Here is a 21,914-nt window from a genome sequence, read left to right as displayed (position 1 = left end):
AGCGTGTTTCCTAAAGTGCAGACTCTTCATATCATTTTCTCTTTTCTTTTCGAAATCTCGCAGCCCTCCTTAATGATTTCTTTGTGCAATCTCTGTCCTCCTGTGGACCCCTGGTGTCCCCACCTTCCGTACCTGCTGTGCCTGGGTTCCTTCCCTCGTGGCCCTCCTGGGATCTGGGAACACCTGCCAGTGTCAATGAGCTCAGCGCTGTGGGGTGTGAGCTGAGATAGAGGCATTTGAAGCTGGCTTGAGCTCTCAGCCTGATGGCCTTAGATAAGCTGCTTTGTGCCTCAGGTTTCGTATCTACAAAATGGGACGGTGACCTTCCCTCCCTAGACCTTTTCCGAGGGGCAGGTCATGGATGTGAAGTTCCTGGCATGGTTCCAGGCACCCAGTGAACCCGGAAAGTGTCATGTGTTTATCACACCGCCGCTCGGTGCTTCTGGCTGGGGAATGCAGTGCTCAGGCTGAGTTGGCAAACCCAGCTTCTCCTCTCCAAAGGATAATGACCGACGTCCACATGGGCCTCCTGCCTGCGGGACCCGGGTTGCTCTGTGCCCCTCGTTTCCTCGGAGACTTGGAGACTTGTGGGTGGTGCTGGCAGCTGGGCTGCTTGGCCGTCGACCCAAGGCCTGCCTGGTGCTTCCCTGGAATCCCCTGGTCCTTGGTGAGCTGGGATGCATCTGAGACAGGTGCCGTCTTGGGCACATCACTGCTGCTTCCTGGCTTGGGACTGGCCTCCCTGGGTGACCTGCTCCACCCCGCAACAGGTGTGTGTGTTGGGCTGTATTGTTAAAGCCACTGGTGTAAACCCTGACACAGGTGTGCCATGGGGCTGGAGAAACTGCAGTCATGGTTCCTTGTGGATTTCATTACAGACATACATGGCTCGTAATTTTCTGGTAGATTTGCTCATTCTCATATCAAAATGACCAGTTTGTGTTCAGTACCCAACTACCTGGGGTGGGATATTTGGGAGACAATGGAAAGAAGCCAGTTGTATTAAAAACCTTAGCGCATACTCAATGCACAGGCCTCCGGGGTCCGGGTCGTGACCATAGATTCACTCTGAGGGACCCGTCAGGACGTTTTGTGTAGGAGGAAGAGCCCAGTTACTCAAAGATGTTCGTGGTTTTGTGCTTGGTATTGCATTTGTGTTTCTGTTCTGTTTTAACCAAGAGTGAGAAGCTCTGGAATTATTGCTATAATAAGCGTGAACCGGGAGACATACTGCCTCATGTAATAAAACTGCGTGCTGCCCACTATCGCTCGGGACCACAGGTGAGGTCATGTGACCGAGCAGGACTAGCAACGAGACTCTTAGGAAACAGCCTTTTCTCCAGACTCACCCATCTCCCCCTCAGGTCCCAGGGTTGCGGGCAGTGATGGCTGTGTAAGCGCTCCTCAGAGTGAAATAGCTGCTTGCTATTTTTAAAGGTAGAGATTAAGAAATGACAAAGCATTTTTGTTTCAAGAAGTGTGTTTCTACTTTGTACTGCTTAAAAATAACTCTGCAAAAATCAACTAAGTCACAAGGAATTGAACAGAACAAAAAATGACATTGAAGAGTACATAAGAAATGAATTACTCCTGTCTAGTTAGCAATTTTTGGGTCGTTTCCGTACACGAAACTTAGAACCTTAGAATTGACGGGGGGAGATCATGCCTCCATGTGCGTGCGGATGGAAGGTCTGTCCCTGCAGAATTCCCGAGAGCTGCCTCCTGCTTTCTGCCTGCCCCTCTCATTGGTGAGGGATGCACTGTTTATAAGGCAGCTGTTTCTCAGCTGAAGGCTTCTCCCTTGGCCTCCCCTGAAATCTCATTCTCATTGATTTCTGTTTATTTGTCCTATCTTACCCAGCCCTCCTCAATCTTGGCTGCAGTTAGAATCACCCAGAGATTTTTTTTTTTTTTTTGGAGAATGTGCAGGCCACTCCCTCAGAAGCCGGGACTTTAGGCCAGGTTCTGGCCTTGACCAGTTGTTGCCAGCTGTGGCTCGTGACCTTGACAGATGATTCTCAGATGCCACCTGCAAGGCTGTCATGGATGAACTGATTTTCCTGCATCCATTCAGTGCTCACCGAGTAACATCGGGGTTTGTGGCAGCCCAACCCACCAGCCGCCTGTTTTGGGTGGAACAGTCCACATTCTTGCAGTCATTCTCGTATTACTTGGTTCCCAGAAGCCTCCCCCGGGCCTGTTCTGGACCCGCTCACTCTTGTTCATTTGCTCCTCTTCCATGTATGGTTCATTTGCTGCTCTTCCATGTATGGTTCAGAGCCCAGGCTGGGCTCCTGCCGCCCAGTGTGAAGAGAGGACCCTTGGCCAGCCCCGTCGTGGGCCTTCCTTCCCCGGCTGTTGCTGAGGATGCTTCTGTTTGATCTCAACCCTGAGCCGAGTAACTCACACTGAGCCCATGGTCTCCTAGGAGCTTGGGGTCTTTTCCGTGGCCAGAACTTTCTCTTCTTGCACTTTGTTTTTCCTTACGGGATTTCATCTTGTTAGTTTCAAGCCTTTGTTGCATCTCATCGAAAACTTCTGAGTCTCTGTGCTGCTTTGGTCTCCCTCATCTCTGAGTGTCAGCCCTGCTCCAATAAGCTTGTCCGGTTCCCTTTCTCCATCTGGGTCATCAATGTACATGATGGCTCATGGGAGGTCGGGCACTGCAGCAACCTCTGAGACCTTCCTCCTTGTGGATCTGAAACAGGAGAGTTCCCTGACCCCTCGCGGGACTTGCAACAGGGGCGTGGCTTATTTGCGCTCAAACTCCTTACAGGAGGGGTAGCAAGCAGATTGGCAGGTGCAGGAGCTGGGTGAGTGCTTTTGGGCGTTGGCCCCATGGTAGTGTCTAGACAATTAATGCTGTTTTAGCAGTTGCTATCTGTGGATGGCTAAGTGTTCAACCAGCTCAGTGGAGAGTCAGGGTGACAGCCTTTTACACCCTGCCATCTTGGTACCTGGGTCCTTGTCTGGTGTCCAGGAAGAATCGGGTCATACAGGCTTTGAAGGATGGTGATTGCAGGGATTTCATTGAGTGGTGGAGGTGGTTCTCAGGGGGATGCATGAGGAGCTGGAAAGGGGATGGAGTGGGAAGATGATCTTCCCCTGGAGTTCAGCTGTCCCACGGCCGACCTCCTCTCTGACTGTCCGCAGCCATACTCCTCTCGATGTTCAGATGCTCCTTCTCTTTTCTTCTCTGCCGTGCCGTTCTGCCACTCTGCCAGTCTTCTGCTCTTCTGCTCTTGGAGCCTGGGGTTTGGGGTTTCTACGGGTACAGGATAGGGAGGCATGGCGGGCCAAAAGCAACACTTGAGTTTGAAAACAGGAATACCTGTTCCCATTTAGGGCCGCAGGTTTCCAAGCTCGAGGGTGGGGCCTTTGCCAGGGAACTGCCCTGTTCTATCCAGTATTTCCCTGTCTCCTGTCCATGTCAGATTCAGGAATGGCCACTCCTGGGCAGAGGCATTGGGCCTGCTCCCAGCTGACCTCTGTGCACTAAAGCCAGCCGTGTTCTCCTTCCTGTCCCCAAGACTGTCAGGGAGAGACCAAGTCCATGCATGCTTCGGTCTCCTACATTACCAGCTTAGTAATCCTCTGAAAAAAGAAAATCACGTTATATAGTTGGTGTGCTTTTGTGTGACTGAGTGACTTTTTTTTTCTTTTTTCTTGGCAAATCTGGGATAAAATATATTAAAACAATTTGTATTTTATAAACCTACCACGACACACAGAATTGATCTCATCTGCGTCTGCAGCAGGTCAATGGCAGAGCGTGTGCGGGCCTGTGCTGGTGTACCTGCAAGTTGCCTCCCTTGCTTGCTGTTCGGTGCCTTCACTCCTGCAAACATACAATGTATTGGAAAAGCAAAGCGGGTGTAAGGCACGTAAGAATCATCCACGGGTTACTAAACCGGCCTGGGTGTGGTGCATGGACATGCCACGTCTCTTCAAAGATTCTTCCTGTTCTATGATCGTGGTGGGGTGCCTGGAAGAAGTGTGAATTTTGTGCACGTGTCTGACCTGAGCTGATGTGGCTGAAATGAGAGGGGCTGCAGGCTCGTCCCACGGTGGCTGTGTCCCAGGAGCAGAGTCCACATGGATGACGGAGCCTTCAGAGGGGCGGGGCATGGTCCTGCCCAGGTGGCAGGGACTCCAGCGATGGGTTCTGGTCTCAGGGCAGCAGGTGTCCGGTCAGCCAGCGCCGAGAGATCAGTCCAGTGAGAATTTGGGGTGTTAACGGGTTCCCCATGCCCTTGGCAGGTTTTTTCCTGTGGGAAGGATGTGGTTGCCGAAATTATACCACATCCTGTGGGAACCATCATGATGGTTGCCGAAATTATAGAATAAAATATTTAAGATGTTTGGCTGCATGATGAAAATGACATGTGTGGGTAAAATTGTCAGTCATAGAACTGGAAAATCTTGAAAAGTCCAGCTCTCATCCATTAGAAAGGAAATCATTGTGATAAGGTTGAAAAATGTAGAACGAGATAAAAGTCCTCATACAAGTCTCTGTACATGCAATTGTTCATTAAAGGGCCTCTTTCTGGTGGTTCTGATGCCGTTTGTAGGTTGGGAGGTGAGAAGTTTTATTCCTGAGGCTCCTTAGAATTATGGTCGCTTAACTGAATTCGTCTTCTAAAAAAAGCATCAAGCTTTCTTCCCTGTATAATCTTAATATTGTGGAACTTTTACCTTTTCTTAACCTTTATAAAAGTAGTGCCATTTCCTCCCTCCTCCCTCACCTCCCATCCCCCTTCCTTGTCAGCCTAAAGTTGAATCAGAGATGTCACTGACGAATGTGATGCTTGCAATTACCTGTTCATTCACTTCTCACTCCCTGTTAATATGCAGGTGAGCCCCCGGTGTTGAGCTCAGGATGTGCCGTGAACTTGACTGCAGACGGGTCCAGCAACTGTGCAGAGTGGGGACCTGCCTGCAGCCACCCTGTGTGTTCAACAAAGCCCAGCCCAGCAAAACACCACAGCCCCCCAATCCCCAAGCAAGGGCCCCCAACCTTCCCTTAGAAACCCAGAGAGGCCAGGTGGGCAGACACCCCTTCCTGTTCACGGAATTAACTAAACTGTATCCGTTATGGGTGGAAAGAAATAATGGCTTTTACGAAGCCCAATATAGAGGGGCAGAAATGAGAAAAATCTTTATTCTAAACACTTACGAAGTTAGGCAAGAAAAGTGTCTTGCAGAGAGAGCATGGGGATGCGTTTCAGGAGGAAGTTGGTTTTTGGAAGGGCCGCTTTGTAGGAATAGCAGCTCAGGAAACTGGCCGGAGGATGCACTGTCAGTGCACAGGGGGCCACGAGGGTCCTGGCACCGGGGCCGGCGCTACCTCCTGCAGGTGGGCTGCCTGGGAGGAGGAGTGAGGCAACCGCTCCCATGGGGGTACAGCTCCCGGGGGGGGGGCAGTGCAGTGGCACCCTACATGCAGGGCCCGGTTCTTCAGCATCACCAGAGCTGGGCGCAGACCCATGCTTGCTGCCCATTGCCCCTCCTGGAGTGACAGCCAGCAGGGCGCTCCTGGGGTCCTGTTTATTTTTCAAAGAAGAAAAGAGGCACAAATGTGCACTGAGAATGAAGTGCTTTAAACACCCATGGAAAACCGAAAACATGACGAATAGGCAGCCCCAGAGCAGCCGTAAGCGCGGAAGGGGAGCGCCTCAGCGTGGCTGCGTGGCTGCAGACTTTTTTGTTATGTATATTTTACTACAGTAATAAAAAATATTTTAAGTGAAAGGGGAGTAACTTTATACAAAGTGCCCTCACCGCATTTCTGTGCTTTTGAGGGCGGTTGTGTGTGTTGAAGATGTTGCCTCAGGGACTTCAGACAGTGCAAGTCTGCCACTCCCTGGGCCCCGTGTGAAACATGCTTGTCGGCGGTGTGCGGCACCAGCCAGGCCAGGGCCAGCTTGGGACGCAGTGAAGTCACCCAAGACCTAATCCATGTTTGTGTTTCCAAGACACATCTAGGAAGGTCCTGCTTAGAAAGGAACCCGGGAGCCCCTGGTGTGTTTGAGCCGAGGACAGAGCAGCCATAGTCACCGTCTGTGGCACGCGTGTGCACACTCGTGGGGTTGGGAGCGACGTGCGCCTTCTCTAGGGCTGCTCGGACCCGGCTGCCTCCTCCTGGCACGTGCTTCCGTGCACCCGGAGAGCATGGGGTGAGTGTTGGAGATCCTGCTCCCTCTGCACAGGGCCGCTGCCAGGCCTTTCTGAGCCAGCCTTCCCTCTCTGGTGTGTGCCCTCGGCACTGCGGTCAGGGTTAGAGGCAGCCATCTATGCAGGGCCACGCCATGCTCAAATCAGCACCGTTCTCTTTCCTTCAATTCTAATAAAGTGCCCGGTGAGCACTGCCACCCAGGGGCTGTCAGATTGGTGGGGACTGAGGAGCAGAAGTGCTTTTTCTTGCAGACTTTCTCCCTGTGTGGCATGGGAGCCACGGAACCAGGCATTTCCTCAACCAGGGAGCTGGAGCCCCCTCCCCGGACACTTCTCTAGCCGAGTTCTTCCGTTTCAGGATCAGGGCCACCGAAACATCAAAAGCCACCTACGCCAGGTCCCAACTGTAGGGGGGGTGGGGGATGGGAGCTGTGGAGAGGGAGTTTGGGGGCCATGGAGGGGATGTGTGGAACCACAGAGGGGGCGTGGGGTTCGTGGAGGGGGCGTGAGAACTGTGGAGGGGGTATGGGGGCCATGGAGAAAGGTGTGCGGGTCGTGGTGGGGGCGTGGGGGGCGTGGACGGGGCGTGAGAACCGTGGAGGGAGTGGTGGGGGCTAAGGAGAAAGGGGTGCGGCCCGTGGTGGGGGTGTCGGAACCGTGGAGGGGACGTGAGAGCCGTGGAGGGAGGGGTGGGGGTGGTGGAGGGGGTATGGGGGCTGTGGAGGAAGGCGTGTGGGCCCTGGTGGGGGCGTGGGGGCCGTGGAGGGGGCACGGGTGTGTCCTGTGCCTGCTGCCACCTGTTGGGGGTGTCCTGAGGAGTTCTCATTGCCAGTGGTGGCGCTTAATTTCTCTGGGAGGTTCACCTCGCGTGTGCAGTAGATGGAGTGCACACGAGAATGGGAAGTGTAGAAAAGGGATAAATGAAAAAGTCAGAATGGCACTCAGGAACCTGAGAACAGTGGATGGGTGTCGTGGTCCCCTTGGGCCGCCTGGGAGGCCCCTCGTCTTAGTTTTGTTTTGACCTGGCTGTAACGAAACCTTGGCAGTAAGGAAACCTTGGCTGTGTCATGTGGCAGCACTTTGCGAGGCCCACTGGACTTGGCAGTAGTTTATTCCCATGATTGGAGGCCCCTGGAGGGCCCTTGTCAACCAACAGCACTGGGTCCAGGAGCCGGGGACGAGGGGCGAAGCCGTCTGTTCTGTGGCTTACTGATGATGAATGCGGGGAGCGCTTGGGCCTGCGCCTCTCTGTACACCAAGGCCTGAGGCCTGATCGGGAGCTCACTAGAGGCTTTTGCTGTTTCAGTGGCCCTGATCCTGTAATGAAGAAACCTCGGTCAGAAGAGGGTCCGGGGAAGAGGGTCCTGGGTCCCTGGCTGAGAAGGTGCCTGGTGGGGAAGAGGGTCCTGGGTCCCTGGCGAGAAGGTGCCTGGTGGGGAAGAGGGTCCTGGGTCCCTGGCTGAGAAGGTGCCTGGTGGGGAAGAGGGTCATGGGTCCCTGGCTGAGAAGGTGCCTGGTGGGGAAGAGGGTCCTGGGTCCCTGGCTGAGAAGGTGCCTGGTGTGGGGAAGAGGGTCCTGGGTCCCTGGCTGAGAAGGTGCCTGGTGGAGAAGAGGGTCCTGGGTCCCTGGCTGAGAAGGTGCCTGGTGGAGAAGAGGGTCCTGGGTCCCTGGCTGAGAAGGTGCTTGGTTCCTTGTTGCTGAGGATCCTGCGCCTCTCCAGTTAGCCACGTGTTTTCTTCCTTGGAAAGGAAGTAGGTCCTTGGAAAGCTGTTCAGTCTTTCTGCTCATCAGCTGCTTCTGCGAATAGCTTCAGTTTCCTGCCCGCTGCCCCTCCACTCGTGGTCATGCTTCTCTCCCGCCCTCCTGGGGTGGCTCGGGACTCTGTGCAGGGTCTGTGTGTTCCAGAGGCATTTTGCCGTTCACTCTCGACCGGTGACATCGATAACTTGGGCTAGACCATGCGCTTTTTTTTTTTTTTTTTTTTTTTTGAGACAGAGTCTTGCTCTGTTGCCCAGGCTGGAGTGCAGTGGCGCCATCTCGGCTCACTGCAGCCTCCCCCTCCAGGGTTCAAGGGAATCTCCTGCCTCAGCCTCGGGATTAGAGGCGCATGCCACCACGCTTGGCTAATTTTTGTATTTTTAGTAGAGACGAGGTTTTGCCATGTTGGCCAGGCTGTCCTCAAACTCCTGATCCCAAATGATCCGCTCTCCTGGGCTTCCCAAAGTGCTGGTATTACAGGTGCTGGCCACCATGCCCAGCTAATTTTTGTGTTTTTAGTAGAGACAGCATTTTGCCATGTTGGCCAGGCTGGTCTCGAACTCCTGGCCCCAAGTGATCTGCCCGCCTCGGCCTCCCAAAGTGCTGGGATTATGGGTCTGAGCCACTGTGCCTGGCTAGATTATTCACTTTTAGTTTATTACTCAGTGTCTTGGTCAGAGGTACTGGAAGTTCTAGGTGATGTTTTATGATCCTTTTGGGGAACATTTTGGAAGCCTCGACAGTCGTGCTTTGAAAACCCCACAGATGTACAGGGGCCGATGACACAGCCGCATTGTTTACACTGACAGACTCCACTAGTAGTCTTGGACATGTGTGTTCAGAAATCTGTATTCCTTTACTGCAGGGAAAACTAGATCTCTCCCTGCTGGATGTTGCCTTTTTCGAATATTTAGAAATGAGTCGAACGTACTGAGCACCATTCTGACTTAAACAAAGGCTAACGTTTCCTCTTTCATATACTTAATTCCATGTTTTTATCCGTGGTGCATCCTAGCACTGCCCAGTCTCCTTTCTCATACCACTGTGTGCGTATAACAGACTCATATACCTGACTTCATTGATTTATTTTTTATTTTAAAATTTATTTTATTATCATTATTACTGTTATTTTTTAAGATGGAGTCTTGCTCTGTTGCCCAGGCTGGAGTGCAGTGGCGTGATGTCAGCTCACTGCAACCTCCACCTCCTGGGTTCAAGCGATTCTCCTGCCTCAGCCTCCGGAGTAGCTGGGACTTCAGGCGCGTGCCACTACACCTGGCTAATTTTTGCATTTTTAGCAGAGACGGGGTTTCACCACGTTGGCCAGGCTGGTCTTGAACTCCTGACCTCAGGTGACCCACCCGCCTCGGCCCCCCATAGTGCTGGGATTGCAGGCATAAGCCACTGTGTCCAGCCTTGACTTTATTTAAATATTAGCCTTTAGGAGCCGGTAGGAGTTGGATAGTTTTTTCTTCCTTTGTCTCATCTCCGCACCAGTTCTGCTGATCAGCCCTTAACTGCTGGCGTTTTTTACATGGACAAGTCCTTTAACACGGCGTATGAATTGCGCACTAACTGCCCGCTGATTGAAAACCAGCATTTGTTACCGTGTCCCTCAGATCTGGGCAAGTGCCTTCAGTGACAGGCGCTGTCTCACCCTGATGAAGAACCCCTTGGAATGGATTTGTTACCAGTTTGTTGGGATTCCTAAGTGTTATCTCCAAATATACACTTAGAACATTTTAAAGGAACATTCTGAGTTAGCAGATCCCTCCATTTTACTGAATGTTAAAAATCTCTGAAAATCTTATTTGAAAACCAAGAACTTGGGGCCTTATACGGAGACATGGCTGTAAGGGACTGCAGATGGCGGCTGGGTGGTGAAGAATCCTGTGTTTTATAGTTCAGAGAGTTTTAAGATATCCGGAAACATCTGTACTCCTGCCCTGTTTCGATGTCTAGATTTACAGAAACCCAAGGCCGTAAATGCAAAACATAAAACCGAATTTTTGTTAATCCGTGTTGTGTCCACTTGCAGTACAGTCTCTTCTGACTTTGGAAAAGCCTTAAAACCTCCGAGCACAGCCCACACCTCGGCTGTGTTTCTCCCTGTCTCACGCGTTCCTTGGGTAAAGTGGGAGGGTTCTGACCACACCATCCCTCCCCACCGCAGAGTTCATCCCAGACTGTGGCTCAGACACGCTCTCCGTCAAGGTCCGACCATCAGGGGCGCAGAGCTTGAGGGGCGGAACCCCGGGCTCAGTTCTCCTGGGCAGCCGGCAGGTGGCGGCATGGAGGTGGATAGCGTGGCTGCCTTTGCTCACCCGCCTCTGGGGGACCTTGGGGCATCAGTGTTTTGGGCTTGAGAATTGCCCTCACAGGAGAGATGCGTAGGGAGGGAGCCCTATGGCTGAGGCGGAAGGTGGTCGGTAGCCCAGTGGTTTCGGAGGCAGACACGGGGGGTCCTTTGGACAGAGTAAGCTGTTGCCCAAGCCTGCTTCTGTGACTGTGGGCTCCACCCAACTTCTCTGGTTTTCTTACCCTGCAATGAATGATTGTGAAGATTCCACAAGAGCCCTAAATGTAGAGTTCCTCGAAAGTCATACGAACCTTATACTGCTGTGAATAATTAATTTTTTTCCCAAGTTTTAATATACCAGTCACCCTCTGTTAACTAGGGACAGCGTCGTTACATGTAACTAGATACACCACTGCTATTGTATTTTTTCCCTGTGATCTTTCAGGTCATTTAAATTGAGAAAAGAAGTCCTGCCTGACTCACCCCCTTTTGTTCTTGTCTGGGTGGCTCCTCAGGGGTTTTCTAAGAGCCACCCAGACTCAAGGGTGGCTTCTCCCGCTGAAGACAGATGGCTTGGAACATGCTGTAGCTGTACGCACCGTGTGTCTTGCTGTGTTCTGATGAGAAATGGTAACTTCCCGTTTCATATTTTGCCTCCTCTAGGGGGACAGCCGCGCCGCTGCTGCTTTTCCGAAGAGGTGACTTCGACCGAGCTCTCCAGTGGAGACCAGAGTCACAAGATGGGAGATAACGCCTCGGAAAGAGACACCGGCGAGTCCAAGGCAGGGATCGCAGCTTCTGTGTCCATACTTGAAAACAGTAGCAGAGAGACTTCTAGAAGGCAAGAGCAGCACAGATTTTCTATGGACTTAAAGATGCCAGCATTTCACCCCAAGCAGGAGGTGCCCGTCCCTGGTGATGGTGTGGAGTTCCCTTCCAGTACGGGAGCGGAGGGCCAGACGGGTCACCCTGCAGAAAAGCTGTCCGATTTGCACAACAAGGAACACTCTGGGGGAGGGAAGCGGGCGCTGGCCCCAGACCTCATGCCGCTAGATTTAAGTGCGAGGTCGACGCGGGATGACCCCAGCAATAAGGAGACGGCCTCCTCCCTGCAGGCGGCTTTAGTCGTTCACCCGTGTCCTTACTGCAGCCACAAGACCTACTACCCCGAGGTCCTGTGGATGCACAAACGCATCTGGCACCGCGTCAGCTGCAACTCCGTGGCTCCCCCGTGGATTCAGCCCAATGGTTACAAAAGCATCAGAAGCAATTTGGTTTTCCTTTCCCGGAGCGGACGCACGGGCCCCCCGCCTGCCCTCGGTGGCAAAGAATGCCAGCCTTTGCTCCTTGCTCGGTTCACCCGCACTCAGGTGCCAGGGGGGATGCCGGGGTCCAAAAGTGGCTCTTCTCCCCTGGGAGTGGTCACAAAAGCCGCTAGCATGCCTAAGAATAAGGAGAGCCATTCCGGAGGTCCCTGCGCTCTGTGGGCGCCCGGCCCTGACGGGTATCGACAGACCAAACCTTGTCACGGCCAGGAGCCACATGGCGCGGCCACACAGGGGCCCCTGGCCAAGCCCAGGCAGGAGGCTAGCTCCAAACCGGTGCCTGCCCCGGGTGGCGGGGGCTTCAGCAGGAGCGCCACCCCTACGCCCACCGTCATCGCCCGGGCTGGCGCGCAGCCCTCGGCCAATAGCAAGCCTGTGGAGAAGTTTGGGGTCCCCCCAGCGGGGGCTGGCTTTGCCCCCACAAATAAGCACAGTGCCCCGGACTCCCTGAAAGCCAAATTCAGTGCTCAGCCTCAGGGTCCACCTCCTGCAAAGGGCGAAGGGGGCGCTCCTCCTCTACCTCCCCGCGAGCCCCCCTCGAAGGCAGCCCAGGAGCTGAGGACTCTGGCCACCTGTGCTGCGGGGTCCAGGGGCGACGCGGCCTTGCAGGCCCAGCCCGGCGTGGCTGGGGCGCCCCCCGTCCTACACTCCATCAAACAGGAGCCGGTGGCCGAGGGGCATGAGAAGCGCCTGGACATCCTCAACATCTTTAAGACGTACATTCCAAAGGACTTTGCGACCCTCTACCAGGGATGGGGTGTCAGCGGCCCTGGGTTGGAGCACAGAGGTAAGATGTGCGGGCCCTCTCTTCCCCAGGCCACATGTGACCCCCAGAACCACCCCCGGAGGGCCAGGGCTGCTGCGCACCTGCCTGTCCATGTCCCTGAGGACAGAGCCAGCCGGCCCCATCCCACTGCTGAGCTGAGAGCTGCTCCCTTGCCCTGGCCGAGGAGCACAGCAGATGGGAACAGCTCTCCCAGGCTCCACATTCTGCCCTGCCGGGGAATGCCTGCCTGGGGTTGGTGGCCCTCTGCACGTTGGCCCTGGGAGGAGGTCGCAAGCCCTGCACGGCTTCCTTCCTGCTGAGAGGACGTTTCCTCCACACCGACATTCCGCAGGAGCAGGCCGACGTGATTGCACTTCACGTGTTTGTCATTTTAAACAGAATCCGTAGATGTTCATTGTCCTGTCTCTCAAAAGACAAGAATATTCATTTAATGTATTAAGTTTTATTTTTATTCATCTGTAATTAAAAAAACACCTAATTAGTCCTCTAATATTAGTAAGCAAAGCTTTGCAGAGGATCGATGTACCATATAAAGTCTGGAGAATGGGATTTGTGCAAAAATTCCTGAAAAAAATACTTGGAAAAGGTTATCTTCCCTTCTCCCTCTGCCTTAGTATTGCTATCTGATAGTAACACTGAGAAGCAGTTGCTAGCTTTCCTCCTGCTCCTCCGGCACGCGCACTGCATGCGGTGCCCCGTTCTGGAACATAATTGAAGGTCACTCTCACTTAACGTCCAGAACACAAACCTAAGTTCTGTTAAAAATCAAAACAAAACAGAGTCTCTCAGTTCATTGCCTGGGAAGTCCTAACCGTTCTTCGATAGAATTGTTTGTCGTGGCCAGGCATGGTGGCTCAACGCCTGTAATCCATGCACTTTGGGAGGCCGAGGTGGGCGGATCACGACGTCAGGAGTTCAAGACCAGCCTGGTCAATATAGTGAGAGACACCATCTCTACTAAAAACACAAAAATTAGCCAGGCATGGTGGGGTGCACCTGTAATCCCAGCTACTTGGGAGGCTGAGGCAGGAGAATTGCTTGAACCCAGGAGGCGGAGGTTGCAGTGAGTAGAGATCGTGCCACTGCACTCCAGCCTGGGTGACAGAGTGAGACTCCATCTCAAAAAAAAAAAAAAAAAATAACGTTGTAAGCCTGTGGTTTCTTAAAGTGGTTACCATTAGAACATCTGAGATCCAGGGCTGCAAACTCCAGGCAGCTGGCAGGACTGTCAGGGGCATGGTTCTGGGTCTGGGAGATATCAGCAGACAGCCTCCCCAGATCCACCGTGGGACAGTGTCCCAGTGGGTGCTGGGGTCACCTGCTGAGCTCCTGGCTTAGGCCGGGGTTTCAGAGCCTGCCTAGATCCATGGCCTGGCAGGGCTGTCTTGGCATGAGGGATGCCCACCCAAGGTGTTTTCCAGTAGGAGACATCACAGGCCTGCTGCCCCTCTTACAGATTTGCTGGCAAAGGCCTTACTCCAGCCAACCTTGTTACATTCCTGCTTTGAAGAGCCCGCTGAGCACTTGTGAACTTTTTAGGATGAGGCCGTAGGCCCGGACACCCGAGGGTCTCGTCATTCACGTTGGCTTGAGGTGTGACTCAGGAGTGGCGTCCCTGAGGCGTGGTCTTAGATCCTCATCTTCTCCCCGCCCATGTGCTCTGGGTGGACGGTGTAACCTGAGGAGGCTGTCGTGGGTGGGAGGCGCGGCGCAGTGCCATGTGGATTGATGGTTTGACTTTTTCCACGTTCAGTTACAGTGAGCGAGTTCCCTCAGCGTCAGCAGGGTTTCTCAGTCACGTAGATTATTTGCTGCTAAGTGGAAAACAAGTTGGTTGGTGGCCTTTTGATGTGATGCCAGCCTCACTTCTGGAGATGTGGGGTTTCTTGGAACCCAAAGCAGAGAAGGCTGAGTGGTGAGGTCTGTGCTGTTGTGGATGCTGGGTGTTCCCAGCTGCACCTGGCCCGCTGTGTCCTTCCCCCGGTGGCCGCCTCCCAGCAGAGCAAGGGGAGTTTGACGCCCACTTGATCCACCGGACTCATAGTTTTAATTAATCATGCCCTCCAGCCTGCGTGCACCCTAGGTTCTAAACAACCTGCCAGCTCACACCTGGAAAGTGCCGTCCCCCGTTTTTAAAGGCTTTTGAGCTGCCCTGTGGGTGGCGTAGTTGCTGTTTCTAAGAAAGTAGAAGTGAGTTTTAAGGTCAGGTTTTGAAATTTTAGATGATAGAATTTGAAGTCCAAAATAGTCTGAAGTATTTTCCCTTTTCTTACAGACATTTTAAAAAATAAATGGTTCTAAGGTCTTTTTTTTTTTTTTTTGAAAGAGAGAGGTTAAATATTTATCTTTCATATGTGAAAAATACTAGTCACAAAGTACATGCACTCATCTTGGGTTATTTATTCTTCTAATGTACACATTGAGACATAGTGTGAGTCAGCAAATTTAGGGTTTCTAAGTGTACTGTAAATTGGGTTTCTTAAGGGAAGTGCTCTCACCTTTTTGGTCTTAAAATATACCTGTTAGTAGGTGCATTATTAGGATCCTGGCTTCCCGGGTATAGAGTACCTGAGGTCAGCCTGTTTAGATACTTGGTCAGTGCACCTGAGAAGTGCCGAGCATCTCCAGATGGGACGCCTCCGGTGAGGGGGCTCGGCACCTCCTGGGCCCCTAGCTTTGGTGAACTTCCCTTGCCTACAGGTCTCTGTGTTGAAGCTGTCAGAACAAGTTGAGAACTCTTCTATGTCATAGTTCTTTAAGGCTTCAGACATTTCCCTCTTGCCTTTCCTGGACCCAGCATCCGTGTTCTGCATCCATCCTCTACCTGGTCTCTTGGGCCTACCCATCTATCCTCTGCCTGGTCTCCGGGACCTTCCGTGTCCATCTTCTACCTGGTCTTCGGGGCCTTCCCATCCATCCTCTACCTGGTCTCTTGGGCCTTCCCATCCATCCTCTACCTGGTCCCCAGGACCTTCTGTGTCCATCCTTTACCTGGTCTCTGGGACCTTCTGTGTCCATCTTCTACCTGGTCTTCGGGGCCTTCCCATACATCCTCTACCTGGTCTTTGGGGCCTTCCCATCCATCCTCTACCTGGTCTCTTGGGCCTTCCCATCCATCCTCTACCTGGTCTCTTGGCCCTTCCCATCCATCCTCTACCTGGTCTTCGGGGCCTTCCCATCCATCCTCTACCTGGTCTCTTGGGCCTTCCCATCTTGGGCCTTCCCAGGTCTCCCAGGACAGGAGACCTGGTCCCCAGGACCTTCTGGGTCCATCCTCTCCCTGGTCTCCGGGACCTTGTGTGTCCATCCTCTACCTGATCTCCAGGACCTTCTGCGTCCATCCTCTACCTGGTATCCAGGGCTTTCCCTGTCCATCCTCTACCTGGTCTCCGGGACCTACCCATCCATCCTCTGCCTGGTCTCTGGGACCTTCCCCATCCATTGTCTACCTGGTCTCTGGGGCCTTCACGTCCACTCTCTACCTGGTCTCTGGGGCCTTCTGTGTCCATCCTTCTACCTGTTCTCTGGGGCCTTCCCTGTCCACTCTCTACCTGGTGTCCAGGACCTTCACATCCATCCTCTATTTGGTCTCTGGGACCTTCCGCATTTCCTTTCTCCTTACTTGAATGTTTGTTTTTGACGCCCTTAAAGTGTTGTAGCCAGAAGGAAACCCAGCAGCCTTGGTGTGGTCAGACTATTGGAAAGGTGAACAGAACACTCATGTTTCCTGTTACAGAGACTCGATTTCTGTTACCGCAGCCCAGGAAATCTGTGCAGCCTGGATTTCCTTTTTTGAGTGTTGCTGAATACTGGAGTAACTACACTTTCTTAGGGCTTTTTTCTTCCACTTGTTTCTGTTCAGCTGTTTCTTTTTTGTGGTGTACCTGTAGTTGATTTTTGAGTCATGAGTCTAGAATCTTGTTTCATTCCTTCCTTGGTCAAATTGATCTTTTTGACGTGTCTTATTATACAAGTGTATCTCTGCTTTCTGGTCTTCTCTTCTCACCGCATGTGTTTGTTACGTGTCTGCTAGGTGGGTGTCGTCTGCAGCTGTAAAGATCACAACTTCCCTGTGAGTGGTCATTGATTACCCCTATTGCTGTAGCATCATTTTGTAGTTTGGGGAGGTAGAAATATGCAGAGGAGAATGGTCTCAGAGAATAGGAAGTCATCTCACGTGTACATGCAATAGTTGTGGGTGCTAGAAGTGTGATTCTGTGATTTTGCAGTGGACATGTTCCATTTATACAGAGAATGTTGCTATTGGAGGATGCTTCTAAGACAGGTTTTATTCAGAAGTTAGGAAACGGAAGTCTCAAAGACTTCCCCGCCCCCACATGTGTTCGGGTGATGTTTCTGTAGATATGAAGAGTCTAAAAACTCTACCCAAACAGGAAGGAAAGAACTATTGCTACCTCCTTTAGGGACTCCCTGACCATTTAAGAAGAAAAACCCACTGCATTTTCTGTAATCATTGTACAGTGTGACTACCAAGTCTATAAACATACAGGAATAGAACATAAATGACTTATTGCTACAACAGTAATAAAATAATACATGATCTGTGTTTTCAGACCTTACGGCCAGTCTAGATGATCTGATAGTATGAATCTTAGAATAAAATTTGAAGCTAATAAAATAATTCCAGATAGAATAGATGGTATTTCTTATTGGGACCTAAAAAAGTCATTTATACCAAGGAGGCCTTCATATTGTGGTGATGAAAGCTTTGTGCTTTCTTGCAGTTTGATCTCTCTTTGTAGAATCTTTTTCATCTCCTCTTTCTCTATGGATAGCACAGCACCACATAATGACACGCAACGTAGCAGGGCTGGGTGTCCCTCTCTGAAGTTGGCCAGGCCTTTTTCTTTGACCGTTAAGTCCACTTTCCAAACACAACTTGAATTTCTAGGTGAGAACATTTGAGCTGCGTGCTTACCAGGTGGTCTTCAGTTCAAATGAAGTTTATAACCTTTGTGATTGACTCGGAATGTTGTAGCTTGGGCATAATATTATTGGCCATAAGGGCAAGTGCCCTGTCTTTAAAAAGTAAAGAGAAAGTGATATGGTGAGATGTGTGGGAAACTCATATGTGTGTGTGCACTTGTGAGCGTGTACGCCTGCGTGTGTGTGTGTGCACGCGTGCTCATGCACCCTTACTTCAAGGAAATAAGCACGGATGAGTGGGAGGGCTATCCATGTTTTCTCTGTTGCTCATTTGGATAGGAAATAGCTACAATAATTACTTGAAAAAAGAATAATGACTTAGTTTTTGAAAGTTGTGAATGTTAGACACAGATGACATTGCATGTCGTCATCATTAGTCAGTATTGTGTGTAGGCGTGGTCAGATTCCACCTGTAGAAGCAGTCTAGATTGTACCTGGGAAAATCCAGACAACCGGAGTATTCAGAAATTCATTTCGTAGGAGCTCCACTGGGTGGTGTTTCTAATGCAAATGAATGGGGGAACAAAATAGCTTAAAAAATCTCTTTTCTTTCTTTCCTTTCCTTCCTTTTCTTTACTTCCTTCTTTTCTTTCTCCCCTTCTCTTTCCCTCCCTCCCTTTTCTCCTCTCCTGTCTCCCCTCCTTTCCCCTCCCCTCCGCTCCCCTCCTCTTCCCTCCTCTCTCCTCTTTTCTTCTTCTCTTTGCTTCTTCTCTCTTCTGTTCTTTTTCTTTTTCCTCTTTCTTTTCTTTCTTTCATTCAAGACAGAATCTCACTCTGTCACCTAGGCTGGAGTGCAGTGGTGTGATCTCAACTCAATGCAGCCTTGACCTCCTGAGCTCAAGTGATCCTCCCACCTCAGCCTCCTGAGTAGCTAGAAGCATAGGCATGCATCACTCGCCTGGATAGCTTTTACATTTTTAGTAGAGATGAGGGCTCTCACTCTGTTGCCCAGGCTGGTCTTGAACTCCTGGGCTCAAGTGATCCTCCCGCTTTGGCCTCTCAAAGTGCTGGGATTACAGGCGTGAGCCGCCGCACCTGGCCCCTGTTAACTTGAGTGTTGGTTGAAATGTTTCTTCTTATTCCTTTTGTGTATGTAAGGCAATGGGAATATTGAGTAGTCGGTGGCTAAGTTGTTGAATTTCTCTGATTCATGTTAATGATCTGTCATATAAGAAATTTGACAAGATGTGCCTCACAGTTCATGCATTTCTTATTTCCATAAACATGATCTATAGTGTAAGCATGATTTTATGTTTTTACCTATTGAGCTACTCTGAATTAGGGTAAGAGAAACAATATTGAAGGTTTGTTTTCAACCAGTGTGACTAAGGTGCCTTTTGTCATTCTCTTCATTTGCTGTTCACACTCAGGTGTCAGCCTTTAGATACATAAAAACTCAGCTGCATAAAGCAGCGTTTTAAAAAATTACTGCAACAGGTGTAACTTTTTCTAGTTATTATTTCTGTTTTTTTTGTTTTTCCTACTGAGTTGAGTTACTATTGCGCATAACAGTGACTCTCCCAGCCAGAGAAATTTCTTTGGAGCTGCCAGCACATGGAAATCAAGCCTTTTCTTCAGAGAGAAAAGTTGTGCAGACAAATAAACGCTCTCTGCATCCCTTTCTAATCAAAGTCGTGTGGCTTTTTGGATCAGAAGGAAACACAAAGCCCGGCCTTTGAGTGCAGGGATGTGGCATGATCTTTGGGGAAAAGGTGGGACTTGGGGACTTCCCCCCTTGCCGATGGCCAGCAGGTGCACGCACCTTGGGGGCCTGCTGCCTGGTGGTTGTAGGTGTCCCCTCCCTTCTGGGGGCCGGGGCCTCAGAGCTGCCCAGGCAGGCAGGAGAGAGGGCCAGAGGTGGGGCCACCCTGTGGCCGCACTCACTCTGCGTGGGTCTCCCAGGATCGCGGCCGGGTCACGGTGGGCTCTGGTCCCGCTCACTTCCTATTTTCCATGAGCCTCGTCTCTGTCACGCCGGTGTCACTCTGATTTGCTGGATGTGCTGCTTGACAGAGCCGGGTGATGGCTGTGCCCAGCCTGCAGTTGCTCGGAGCTGCACAGCCCGACGTGCTGCCTGGCGGGCACCTCCTGTCCCAGGGAGTGGTTTTTAATTCGCTGTAATTTATGCATCCTTGCAGTCCTGAGAGTGCCTGGCCTGTCAGCAGAGCCGAGATGAAGGCTGACAGTTGTCACCAGGGCCTGAAGGGAGCCTCACATGATGACACATTAGACAGACTAATGATGTTTTCCTCTCGCTTCCCCCTCGCTCTCCTGCCTCCTCACCTCCACGCCAACCCCACCACGGCCCTGCCACCACCACCACCTCGCCACCGCAGGGACACTCCGGACGCAGGCCCGGCCAGGAGAGTTCGTCTGCATCGAGTGCGGAAAGAGCTTCCACCAGCCCGGCCACCTCAGGGCCCACATGCGGGCACACTCAGGTATCGCCCTCCCGCCCAGCTATCCCCAAGGGGAGCAGAGGAAGAGGGGTCTCTTCTGTCAGTGGCTTGACCATCCGCAGCGAGGGAGATACTGAGATTTCAGCCCCTACCAGGCGGCGGGGGGCCTGCCATCTGCCTCCGGGATCGTATACAGGCCGCCCCCACTCCACACCTGAAATGGGTTTTTTTGGTGTCCATGTGCCATGTGGTTTAATTTGAGATAAGCCTGTTTGCAAATGTTCCATTTTAATTAGAGAGTAACTGACTCCTCAGAAATGAATATGCTAATGAATGGCATTGCCACCAGCACACATTTAATCAAAGCACCCTTTTAGCACAGCGTAGGCTTGGTTTTGTGTCCTCACTGGCACTGACTGGACTCTGTGGGATACACCCGGGCCCCTTTGGACCATGCAGGATGTACTGCAAAATCCCTCAGCCCTTATGTAGAGAGCTTGCACCCGATCGGGCTGGAAACTGTCAGGACAGCGCAGGGGCATTAGAGAGACAGGGAGACGGGGTTCTCTATCAGGAGTGTGAAGGATGCACACAGAAGCTGGTCTGATGCAAGATGACACAGGCCGAGTGGTAAGTAATGCAAGAAGAGGGTCCCTTACACACACACCGATAATTAATGTTGTCAGTGATTGCTTTCTTCAGCAGCGAGGTCTGAATTAAAAAGGGCAGTGGCCCCAGGCAGCCATTATCACAGTCTCTTACTGTAAGTGTTACGGTAAATTGGTATTTTCCAGCCACAGGCTAGGCGCTGGTGTCTTTTTTTGTGGAAGTACTTAATCTGTAATGGACTCATTTAATGTGCACGTCCGGAAGCTCACACGCTGATCTGTTAACAAACCCCTTGTTCCCACAGTGGTGTTTGAGTCCGATGGGCCTCGGGGTTCTGAAGTTCATACCACCTCCGCAGACGCCCCCAAACAAGTAGGTCTCATGATGAATTGGATGTCTGGGTTTCGATGCGGTAGCTGGGAAAGGTGCACCATGATGCTCATCACTGAAGCATGACCTTCTTTTTGTTTTTTTCACTAGATGTGTAAATAATCCTATATGCTTTGACTTGGAACCTGACCCTTCGGGGCCGTCTGTGGGCAGTACCCGCACAGAGGTCCTCCCAGCCGGGTGGTGCAGGGTCTAGGTGCACACAGCTGGTTGTTGGTTGTATTGGGGAGGAGGAAGTCGGGATAGACTGGCGGTGACTGCAAACACTAGAAACTCAGTTTTTCCAAGATGGTTTTGGATGTGAGTTTGCTTGAGAACAAATTGTGGTTAACCTCCTTGAAGAACATTATTTTTGTGTTATTCCGTAAGAAAAGTTTCGTGTCCAGCGTGGTGTCTTGCGGCTTTGTGCCTTGTTTCTCTGCATTACGAACACGACTGGCAAGGCCAGAGTGCCTGAAAGTAGCTGTGTGCCTGTGTCTGTGATGCACCTTACCATCCAGGCGTGACCTGTGTACATGCATGACTCAGTACACACTGAGTGTGTGGGACCCTGGCACTAGCACACGGTTCTGAGTCCTGCTCTAAAGTAGAGAGGCACCCACAGCCCGCAGCGGGTCTCTTGCATTCTCTCAGGCTGAGAGTATGTATTTTCATTGCTCTCCCATTTTGCCCTCCTGGAGGACGTCACACCTGTGTTGCACAAGCATTCTCTAAGTAACATTCTGGCTTTCTCCAAAGACAAACTCTCCCCTTTGTCATTGAGGAAAGAGTTTCTTTGCCGTGAGAGTCAAGCCGTGTCTGGGTGGTGGAATTCAGTTTGTGTCCCTGCGCTGAAATATCTAATTGTCTGTGGGATTCCTGGTTGCTGGTGAGGATGAGGGCAGTTAAGACCTCCAAGGGATCTCAAGACTCTATGATCTAGTGAGGTCTCAAAGGAACTCGAGAATCGTTCTAGTTTATTTCTAGAGGAAAAAGATAAGAGGCATGAAATGGCTTCACCAAGGACCCACTGCTAATTAGTGATTGAGCTGGGCTGGATGTAGAATTGACATTACCTGATGAGGGATTTCGGTTTTTGTTTTTGTTTTTGTTTTTTTTGCCTTGTTGGAATTTCTGTGTATTGTTAAAGGCCTTTGCTTCATGTATTGTTGACAAAAACCCTTGCCATTTATTACAGGTTTTAAATAATTAGCTTCTGCCTTTCTTAATAAAACCCATAGTTACCC

General features: G+C 51.4%; 1 protein-coding gene across 16 annotated transcripts in view, besides 3 other annotated features; it reads left to right on the top strand.

The window, feature by feature from the left end:
* ZNF516 (zinc finger protein 516) overlaps window positions 1-21,914 on the top strand; it is a 138,738-nt gene that overhangs the window by 105,222 nt on the left and 11,602 nt on the right. For 15 of the 16 annotated variants that reach the window (XR_007066258.1, XM_047437953.1, XM_047437952.1 and 12 more), the window contains 3 exons: window positions 10,895-12,343; window positions 19,627-19,731; window positions 20,603-20,670. Coding sequence is in view for 15 of the 16 variants with exons in the window: in XM_047437953.1 (XP_047293909.1) it covers window positions 10,895-12,343; window positions 19,627-19,731; window positions 20,603-20,670 (1,622 nt within the window). In the remaining variant the exon portion in view is untranslated. The remainder of the gene's footprint in view (window positions 1-10,894; window positions 12,344-19,626; window positions 19,732-20,602; window positions 20,671-21,914) is intronic. The other variant, XM_047437957.1, reaches the window with a different exon arrangement.
* Window positions 10-527: an enhancer, noted in NCBI's record as "H3K27ac-H3K4me1 hESC enhancer chr18:74102627-74103144 (GRCh37/hg19 assembly coordinates)". NCBI's record gives its function as "activates a minimal SCP1, AML or CMV promoter by ChIP-STARR-seq in primed H9 embryonic stem cells {active_cell/tissue: H9 hESC(primed)}" and the evidence as "EXISTENCE:reporter gene assay evidence [ECO:0000049][PMID:30033119]".
* Window positions 204-372: a silencer, noted in NCBI's record as "fragment chr18:74102782-74102950 (GRCh37/hg19 assembly coordinates)". NCBI's record gives its function as "represses an EF-1alpha promoter that drives an FKBP-Casp9 reporter gene in an ReSE screen in phorbol 12-myristate 13-acetate-treated (for megakaryocytic differentiation) K562 erythroleukemia cells {active_cell/tissue: K562(+PMA)}" and the evidence as "EXISTENCE:reporter gene assay evidence [ECO:0000049][PMID:32094911]".
* Window positions 19,312-19,914: an enhancer, noted in NCBI's record as "H3K27ac-H3K4me1 hESC enhancer chr18:74083239-74083841 (GRCh37/hg19 assembly coordinates)". NCBI's record gives its function as "activates a minimal SCP1, AML or CMV promoter by ChIP-STARR-seq in naive and primed H9 embryonic stem cells {active_cell/tissue: H9 hESC(naive and primed)}" and the evidence as "EXISTENCE:reporter gene assay evidence [ECO:0000049][PMID:30033119]".

The sequence above is a fragment of the Homo sapiens genome, chromosome 18 (assembly GCF_000001405.40).
Source record: "Homo sapiens chromosome 18, GRCh38.p14 Primary Assembly".
Lineage (NCBI taxonomy): Eukaryota > Metazoa > Chordata > Mammalia > Primates > Hominidae > Homo > Homo sapiens.
The sequence above is the reverse complement of the archived record's forward strand: the minus strand, read 5'-3'. Positions and strand labels throughout refer to the sequence as shown.